Source organism: Homo sapiens, chromosome 15, assembly GCF_000001405.40.
Source record: "Homo sapiens chromosome 15, GRCh38.p14 Primary Assembly".
Lineage (NCBI taxonomy): Eukaryota > Metazoa > Chordata > Mammalia > Primates > Hominidae > Homo > Homo sapiens.
The window spans coordinates 60844521-60855139 of NC_000015.10; the positions used below are offsets into that span (position 1 = coordinate 60844521).

Below are 10619 nucleotides of genomic sequence, written 5' to 3' on the forward strand. Positions count from 1 at the left end.
CACGCATGTCGAATGCACACTTGTATGCATGCACACACACATAGGAGCTAGAAGGAGCTGGTTGCTCTATGGCAAGAAGCAGCAAAGAAGATAAGATCACCATACTGCAAAGGAAGGTAAGCCACGTGATGATGTGGGTAACCCCAGGCACAGATGATACCCTCAGCGAGGCCCAGCTTAAATCTAACCACATCAACTTTTCATGAAACAGACATGAAAAAGTAAGACTAAGACAATTACAAAAAAGGTGGTTTAATGCCTTCTTGCCTCGATGGTATCAAAGCTATTGGCTCCAGGGCTACACTTGGGGAAACAATTCTTTGAGATAAGGAGATGAACTATCTGCTCAAAAGAATGTGCAGGAAGCCAAGGTAACTGGGCAACACATAATGAAACGGTTTGTGGCCAATGAGCCGTCTAAACAAAAATATCCCTGGTAGGCATCAGTTGTATAAGTGAAGGAAACCAAACCCACCCTTGTTTCAAAGTGAAGACTTTGTGGGTGCCAGTGTGTGAGTGTGTGTGTGTGTGTCCTCACTAAATATTATAGTTAAAGTGAAATTCACAAGTCCTCCAGCTGTGGCTGACACTGGTATAAAATGAAAAGGTTGAGAAGGTGAGACTAGTTGTCATACAGCAACCTTGAAGTGCCTTTCCGGGTGGCACTGCCTGCTATGTGAAGGCTCATTTGCTGAATGACCATCACTACGTCAACACAAATTGAGATCTCAGCATTGATTTATCGGTGTGTGTCCCAGAAAGACACACTGCATTTCAGCATCACGGTATTCTGATGTAGTTAGGTTCTGAATTCTCTGAGCCACAGACGATGGTATGTTTCTCCTCTCTGAAGCTCTGCTAATGCCTCGTCCCTATTTCCCTGAAATATGGTTTCCCCCATCAGTTTTCAACCTTTTCGTTTCCCCAGGCAATCTTTTGATGATTCTTTAAGGTCCCCAGATCCACAGAATGTGACAGCTGGGATGAGCTTCCGGGGGTGCCGATTGGAAGCTTTACAGGCTCTAAAACTTGCTACTGAATCTCAGCTCTGGCATTAGTCGGTGTTCTTTGATTTCAGGTAAGTCACACAACCTAAATCTCAGCTTTCTCATTTATAAATTGGGACTAACAGAACCCATCTTCTAGTTGAGTTTGCTTTAGAAATATATGAGTTAATTCGCATTAAAGTACTTAGCACAATTATACACCTCAGTATGTGAAGCCATTTTTTTGTTTGCTTGTTTGAGATGGAGTCTTGCTCTGTCGCCCAGGCTGCAGTGCAGTGGTGCGATCTCCGCTCACTGCAACCTCCGCCTCCCGGGTTCACACCATTCTCCTACCTCAGCTTCCCGAGTAGCAGGGACTACAGGTGCCTGCCACCACACCCGGCTAATTTTTGTATTTTTAGTAGAGACGGGGTTTCACCTTGTTAGCCAGGATGGTCTCAATCTCCTGACCTCGTGATCCGCTCCCCTCGGGCTCCCAAAGTGCTGGGATTACAGGCGTGAGCCACCGCGCCCAGCTGTGAAGCTATTTTTATTACCACCACCAGCATGATCCCTTCAGACCCTCTTAATCTTGAGGTCCAGAGAGATAAAGTAACTTGTCCTAGGGAAATGAATCTTGGTTGAGACAATAACTATTGTCTCTGCTATACAATGATTAAACCAAAGATAGCAGCAATCGTAAGTGGCTGTCAGGGCTCAGGTCTACTCGCTTCCAGGTCAGAACCACATTGGTGCCCGTACTGTGATTTATCATTGCATACTTATTTTTTTCAGAGTGTAGCACTTGATAGGTACTGTATAAATATTTATTAATCAGCTGATTGCAAAGATCACTGCTGATTTTCAAAGCAACAGGTTTCTCTATCGTAACTGCTTCTCCTCCACACTATCACGTCCTTATAATTTCAGAACACCCATCTAGGAAGGACTCATACTAATGTGTTATCAGAGGGAAACATTCCACCCCTTTTTGGAATGCAGATATAGATTGCTCCAGATTTCAGGAACACTAATTAGAGCCACTGGTAATTTGACTGAAGCGCTAAAGCACCAAAGCACTCACAGAAGGCACCTTTGTACTCACACATTAGAGCTTTTGTCACTACATATCAAAAATGGTCAAGCTGCCTTTTGATGGTACCCGCAGGCTGGATGACAGGGTCAAGATGCCAGCCCACCAAATCCATCATCGGAAAGAAACTCGGGGCCAGCCCATCTCCTAAAAGCTGAGTATGTTGCACAGATTGCTGGTTCTAAATAGGATATTCTAATAAACATTGCTATTGTTTTTATTGTCTTGTGCAGTATCGAATATGCTTCTCACATACTAGACTTTATGCAAAACCACCATGACCTAAATGTTTAATTCAGATCTTTATTTTCTGTTTCATAACCCCTTTTAATATCACTGTAAAAATCTAAATGGATATACATGATGCTCTTTTGGTACCAAGCTTTTTGGGCTATACTTTTATGGTTAATATCAGGGTCACAGCAAGAGCTCAAGAGAGCATGGGTATAGCTTAAAAGTGCCTGGAATATACTTCTTGTCCTAGCAATTGATACCCTCTCATTGCTTCATTGAATTTTTCCTGTTCTTAACCTCTGCCCTTGTTTTCAGTAATATTAGTATAATGAGTTGAATAAATGGCCCTATCTATAAAGAAATGGGAAAAAAATCGGGCTTTGGCTGAAACTCCCTTGAGGATTAAAGGTATAAGGGTGAACGCAGAGGTGAACTTAGATATCTATGAAATAAACAGAGACAGGGTGTTTCTCGGAGGTTGCAGCCAGGCAAGAGTCTAATCAGAGTCTGTGGCTGAACCTCATCAGCTTCACCAGAGGACACATCCTTTCTAGAATCTCCTGTTCCATCCCCTACTTCCTGTGGCCTACTCAGAACCTCTGGAATTGGGGATGGCTGATGGGAGTGACAGGTGGCCCATATGTTCCGTGACAATGCACTGTTCATTGCTTTTCTGAACACCTTTGAGTAGACTTTGCACTGGATTCTGAGAACAGTGCCTAGACATGTACTATCCAAAAGTAGCCACCAACCATATGTAGCTGTCGAGCACTTGAAATATGGCCAGTCCAAATTGAGGTATGCTTCAAGCATAAAACCCACACTAGATATTGAAGATGTGGTACAAAAATGAATATAAAATATCGTATTAATAAGTTTTCCATATTGATACCACGTTGAAATGATAATACTTTGGATAGATTGGGTAAAGATAAAATGTTTTATTAAGGTTAATTTCAGCTGTTTCCTTTTACTTCTTAACATGTGGCTACTAGAACATCTAAACTGACAAATCTGATTACATTGTATTTCTACCAGACAGCACTGCTCTAAACAACTGCCAGAGAAACTGTCTTCATCCATGTACAAGTTAGCCCAGTGAGAACACAACTCTCCAGCCCTCTGCCCACGTTCCACTGCACTCAGAATGAAATCTGCGCTCCTTCTCTGGCTCCCGCAATGCAGAGGGACCTGGGCCCTGCCTCCCCCTCCAGCCCCCGCTTGCTGCTCACTTCAGTCATGCTGGCATTTTCCTCAGAATCTGCAGGCTTCTGCCAGGTCCAGGATCTTTGCAGCCTGTCCCCCTCATCTGTTTTTGTCGTGTGGGTCTCCTCTCAAGTGGCAGCTCCTGGGAGAAGCCTTCCCTCACCTCCTGTGGTAGGAAGAATAATGGCCCCCAAAGATGTCACCTCCTAATCCCTGGAACCTGTGAATATGCTACCTTACATGGCAAAAGAGACTCAAAGGAGGAAGAATTTTGAGATGGGGAGATGATCCTGGGTTATCCATGTGGGCCCCATATGATCACAAGAGTCCTCATAAGGGAAAAAGAGGGAGGAAGGGGAGTCAGAGAGGGAGGTGTGATGACAGAAGCAGAAATTGGAGAGATGCAGGGCCATGAGCCAAGGAATGCAGGTGGCTTCCAGGAGCTGGAAAAGCCCAAGATACGATTCTTCCCTGAAGCCTTCAGAAGGAATGCAGGACTCCAACCTGTGTTAGTCCTTTCTCACATTGCTACAGAGAACTACCTGACACTGCGTAATTTATAAAGAGAGGGGGTTTAATTGGCTCATGGTTCCACAGGCTGTACATGAAGCATGGCTGGGGAGGCCTCAGGAAACTTACGATCATGGCAAAAGGTGAAGGGGAAGCAGGTACGTCTTACGTGGTGGAGCAGGAGAGAGAGAGAGTGAAGGGGGAGATGCCACACACTTTTAAACAACCAGATCTCATGAGAACTCACTCACTATCGTGAGAATAGCAAGAGGGAAATCCACTCATAATCTGTTCACCTCCCACTAGGCCCCTACTCCAACAAAGGGGGTTATCATTCAGCATGAGATTTGGACCGGGACATAAATCCAAACCATATCACAACCAATTTTAGACTTGTGACCTCTAGGACAATGACAGAATACATTCATATTGTTCTAAGCCAAAACATTTGTGGTTATTTGTTATAGCAGCAATAGGAAATCAATATACCTCCCAACCTGAGACTGTGCCCCACCCATGCCCCAGCTCCTCTATTCCATCCTTCTGGGTTCTTCTTTTTGTATCCTTTGCTGCTATCAGACTGTTTCTAATTTCTTTGTGGATTTGTTTACTTGTGTATTTTCTGTCTCTCCTGACTAGAATGTGAGCTCCCCTAGGGCAGAGACCTCCTATGTTATGATTACCTCTGAGTACTCTTGCCTTTGAACTAATGCCTGACACATAGCAAATGCTCACTGGTATAAATAAATGGTTGAATGAAGAAAGGCATGACAGACAAGTAGCTCTTTGAAACATTCACTTATAGCCAATTGGATATCATCTGAAAACTTTTAGGGAAAAAGTACACCCCAAATATTAATAGATGAAACGGACAACATTGACAGATACAGATATTGGACAATACTTGCTATTTACGAGGTACCATGATGATGCTGTGGAGATACAAATAACTTGATGATCCTCCTACAGTCTCCACTGAGAGACAAGCATGGGCACATCATAAAACATGGCCAAAGTATGGTTTTAATTGTTGGGGCCAAACGAGTGGTGGGGCTTTAGGTATGAGCAGTGATGTGCTGATAAACCAGCCTGCAAAACAACAGCGAAGATAAGGGTCTGATTTGCAATGTTTGCCAATTTCTGTGGTGTAAATATTCCTACAGTGATTGATTTCAAGCTACCATTGCGATGTCTCTGAATGTGGAGCTGGGAAGAAACATGTACACAAGGATGGTTTTGTTGAGGAGGTGGGATTTCAGTTGGGCCCATCAGGGTTGGTGGGATGTGGATGGCCTGAGAATAGAGGAGGAGGCATCTTGCACACAAAGGGAAGAATCTCTTCAGGGCTAGTGAGGTGCGTCTCAAAGGCCCCTGTGGCTCCAGTGGGTTTCCTGTCATTGAGAGAAACAGAAATGAGCAACTAATGAGACGTCATCATGAAGAGGACTCCCTGGAAAGATGCAGGAGCAGGGAAGACATAGATAATTTTCCAGCCCTGTGGTCATTTTAACAAGCATGGCGGTATAGCTAACGCACAGGCTGCCAAATCCCAGGGAGGAGAATCAACAGTCCGTGTTCATGGAGCTGGTCCCAAGAAATCCAGACCTGAATCCAGGCTGATGCCCTCACTCATTCTGCCTCTCACATGTTTAGGGTCGAAATAACATGCAGCTCCTCCAGCCCAAAGATGAGCCAGCAAGGGAACTTAGAACAACCCTCTTTGGAACAGTTCTCAAAGTATACCTCCCTGAAATTCCCCTCCTCATCCATGACTCAACCCCTCTAATTTGCAGGCATGGGAGGTTTGATTCTGAGGATATTAAGGTAGTGTTTAAGATGCTGGTGTGATGTTTAAGCGGGGGGTCAGATGGTACCCGATTCAAATCCTGACTCCACATGACTCCTGGGGAGGTTACTTGACCTCTCTAGACTTTGGGTTCCTCATCTCTAAAATGGGGATAATAATGATATCCTCCTGAGAGGGTTTGGAGCAGATTATATGATGCCTAAGAGACACCCTCTCCTGTGCCTGGTGCATGGTAAGTGCCCAATTCATGTGCACATTGATGGTGATGATCATGTTTTCCCCCTCTTAAGGCCTTGCCAGACAGAGCAGAGCTGGTTTCCAGCAAGCCCCTTTCCCATCCATAGTCACCTGCCCATCAACTTGCTCTGAGCAGGGAGCCCTGTAGACAACTGGTGCAGCATCCTCCCAGCCCACGTCTTCCCTGCTGATCACTTTAAGAGCATGCATTCTTCTGTGTTCAGGGTGAGATGTTTTCCTTGCTTTGGGAATGTTTCAATGAAAGACAAGGATAAGGCCATTACGTGAACACAGGGACAACAACGAAAACAAGACTGCTTTCTGAAAAGCACCAAAAAGCCTTATTTTGCCTGAATGGCCATTATTTTCATTCTTTTTCCCTCACACAAAGCACCGGAGCACATTTCATTCAGTCTGTTGCTGAGTGAGTGGGTGTGAAGATGCAGTACAAACAAAAGTGGTAACATATTGCTGTTGTCAGGACTCTTGTTAAGCGCTTTGCGAGGTGGACCAAGCTTCCCTGCTAGCACCACCGCTTGAGTCATCAGGAGCAACGATGTACATATACACACATAAATAGAAAAACCCTCCATAATCCTTGACATGGCTACACGGCAATTTATGAGCAGGAGCTGGATTTCAAAAGTCTGCAGAACATAAAAGCACAATTTTCTTCTAAGATGACAGCACCTTGTCAGCCGCTTCCACAATCTTATGTGTGGATCCTGCCACCTTGGAGATGCAGTTCCTTCTGTGCAAGAAGGCAAAACTGCTCCATTCCTCTGACACATTAGGGCCCCTGGGTGTGAGCGTGAAAGGCCTCAACGGGGTTGCATGTGTTGGCAGCCAGGTGCCTGGAGAGTGGGGAGGACATGTGAGGTCCCAGGGTGCTGGGGTGTTCTAGGTCCCAGGCTATCCAAATCATACCACTCAAAGTAGGAGAAAACCTGCTACCTCCTACTCTGAGTTTGCTGAAAATAAAAAGCAATTTTGAATAGGGGAAGGAGGTAAACCTTGGCACTTGCTTCCTTTTGCCATGTAAATCTTGGCATTTACCATAAACTGTCCTTTCTTAAAGACAATTCTGTGGCTTTGGTTTATGGCAATATTATATGTGTGTGTGTGTGTGTGAGAGAGAGTGTGTGTGTGTATGAGTGAGTGGGTGGGTGAGAGAGAGAGAGAGATTTTTTTTTTTTCCCCACAATAGTTTTCTTCCTCCAGCTTTTGTCAAAAAGCTTACTCTACCAATGACGTAAGTTCTGAGAACTTTTCTTCCGGATCACTGGATGGTTCTGAGGAAGTAGGAAGTGTGTGCTGATAATGTCTCAGCTCCCTGAAGGGCAGGATTCCCCGGCCATGTTCCCCATCAAGTCTCCAAGGTATCCATGTGTGCCCACATTGTAAAGTATTTACTGAGCGAGCTGGGGAACAAGCAACACTATTGTGACTTTTTCCAATTTCACAATCCCTGACAGGCCCTGTCAGAGGGATCCCTGCCCCGATGGCACACCAGCGCTTGAACCTCAGTGCAGGGCCTGTCCCTATGTGATTCAGCCAGAAGAGCATCATGTTTAAGGACACCATCATGGGTGTTCTTATTGAATACCAACGATGTGTCTGGCGTGGTCGGGTGGGTGACACAAGGGTAAGGTAGTCCATGTTTGGAGGCTTATAGGAGCTAACATCATACATGCTTTGAGCCTCTTCCCACCTTTCCCCAACCCATGTCCAGGGGTTGGCATCCTGCCTTGGTATGGGCCAGCTGCACAGCTGTGCGTGATGCTTGGCAAGTTTGTAATGTTCACAGTGCCTATAAGCTCCAGTCCCGTGTCTATAAAGTGAGGATAACAACTCCTAAGTTGCAGGTTTGTTGTAAGGATTAAATGAAACTATATACATAAAATACCTACCATAGGTCCTGGCACACCGTAGGTGCTTATGAAATTTTCATAGTCAGCTTCGCTTTGACAAGTAGTGAAAAAAAGCTATCTGAGGAAACAAGATGAACATACAGAAAGCAACCTGGGAATATTTTATAGTTAGCAAATAATAAAGAACTAAGTAGAATAAATAATGAGACCTTTAGAATAGGCTCAAGCTGTCTGCAGCCTGGAAGGGAAATGAAGGATGTGGGGTGAGTCTGCAGCAAACAGTATCATCAAGGACAAGGACTGGAGATGGAGCTTGAAGAGATGGCCTAAATGGCTGTGGTTCCTCTCGGATGACAAGATTTCTGGTGCAATAAATAATGTCATTTGAAAAAAAAAAATTCAAGTGCCTGATTCATCTCATGGGATCATGGGAGTAAAATGAATATGAGAAGGAAACATGGGCTGGTCCAGGTGGGACAAAGGCCCTCTTCTGCTGACAGCATCTCCCCCTGAAAGATTGCCGGTAATATCCTTTGTGTCTGTCGCTGTGGCAATTAGTAATGACCCCCAGCTTGGCATTGAGAGCATTCCTTTATAACGAGAGCCAGCCAGACACAATCTCTCTGCTCAGAGTTCAGGGCGGAGGGGGAGAACCAGGCAGATCCACACGGTACACGCTTCCAATTAAAAATACAAACAGAGGCAAAGCAAAATGAATGTCACAGAAAAGAAAGTGCTGCCACCCACTCTTGGCCTAAAGGTCACTGTGCCACAGCCTTGGCCATTATCTGCAGCCGCAAAGGTCAGGGGGGCTGTCTGCATTGCTGGGGAGTATGTAGGCTTTCATAAGGTCTCAAAATGACTGTTGCTCTGACACCAAAATTAGTGATAAGCTCTCAGCAGAAGACGATAATAGAGAAATGGAGTGACTGTAACCTTTTCCGCCATCTCTCTTGTCGGTTCCATGAAGCAGAGTCACAAGGCATAAAACGAGAAGTTTCCACATTCTACAAAAGACTACAAGATTGCTGACTTAATTGGGTGCGTAACAAATGGCTATACCACTGCCAACAAGAAGACATCAAAAAGGAAGGAGAAAATAGCGATTAAAACATCTCATGACAACCCTTTGAATTTGGAAACTGGCTCCAGATATACCTGGACAGGCCTTGATACAAGTGCAGGGAGCTAGCCATGTGGTTCCATTAATATTCCAATCATTGTGGCCCAGCAAGGGCAACCATGCCACTAACTAATTTGTTGAATTTCAGGAGAATTTAAATATAGGAAGAACTGGAAGAACACTGGACTTGGAGTCAGATAGACCTGCATTCAAATCTCAATTGTTGTCCCTATTTGATGGACAATATTATAAAATCTTTTACCATCCTTGTACTGTAATTCCGCAATGTTTTCATCTGGAAATTTAATGACTTTAATACCTACTGCACAAGGTCCCAGTAAAGATTAAATGTGAGGAAAAACACCGGAAAAGTTCTTAGTAAATGATCAGGTACAGTGGGGCGTGGTGGCTTACTCCTGTAATCCCAGAACTTTGGGAGGCCAAGGCAGGTGGATCACGAGGTGAAGAGATCGAGACCATCCTGACCAACATGGTGAAACCCCATCTCCACTAAAAATACAAAAATTAGCTGGGCATGGTGGTGCGCATCTGTAGGCCCAGCTACTTGGGAGGCTGAGGCTGGAGAATCGCTTGAACCCAGGAGGCAGAGATTGCAGTGAGCCAAGATTGCACCACTGCACTCCAGCCTGGCGACAGCGAGACTCCATCTCAAATAAATAAATAAATAAATAAAAATAAATGATCAGGTACAATACAAATACAAACATAGTTCGAATTCAAATACAAAAATAACTTGAATCATTATTATTATTAGCTAGTAATATCATCCATTATCCCTGAGAAAATCTCTACTCCTATCCACTCTGAGGTAACGTTGTTTTTCTGTATTTAGGCCATCCAGGGAGAAAAATTTTTGCTGTTGATGATAAACAGAATCTGCAAAATGCTACATGCAGAACTATTTCGTTGGGTTGATATATAAAACACTAAAGGAAATAAACCAAGGCACACAGCACACACATGAACATATGGCTGAATATGGCCTTTAGTAGGTATCAGAAACAAAATTAGCAACTTGTAGCACTTCAGCTAAGCTTCCTAGCAACAGAAATACATAAATAACAAATACTTATGATGATTATCCCTAAAAGTCACTGGAATATTAGCATGTGATATTGGTCCCTCCAAGTGTTCTCTAGCTCAAGGCAATTGGCATTTTTCAATTACTTAGGTAATAAAGTATTTGATGTTTAAACCTGCCAAACATCGAGGACGAGGCATGAATGATACTTTGGCAGTTTAAAGTATTGGCCTCCTTCCTTTCCAGAAGGAAATCAATCATTGAATCACCACTACTCCAAACTCAGAATCGCCCAACATAGCAATGTGGGTTTTCCTTCTAAAGTTCTGTGCCTGTCCCTGTTAAACAGGTCTGGAGAAGATGCTGGTAGTCATTTTGAGCATCGCACAGTAACTGAAAGGAGCTGACAGGCTCAGAGGCTGGGCAGAGCTTACGATTGTGCTTGTCTGTGTGGCTGACCACATGGGGGATGCTCTCGGCACTGTTTGCTTTATTAGCCCGCATATAACT

General features: G+C 44.3%; 1 protein-coding gene and 1 long non-coding RNA gene across 3 annotated transcripts in view; both read right to left on the minus strand.

The window, feature by feature from the left end:
- Positions 1–10619, minus strand: part of RORA (RAR related orphan receptor A) — a 741019-nt gene that overhangs the window by 356237 nt on the left and 374163 nt on the right. The window lies entirely within an intron of this gene.
- LOC124903500 (uncharacterized) lies at positions 3231–9545 on the minus strand. Its single transcript, XR_007064666.1, has 2 exons — positions 7984–9545; positions 3231–5420 (listed from the first exon to the last, which is right to left on the minus strand). It is a non-coding gene; the product is annotated as an uncharacterized LOC124903500 (long non-coding RNA).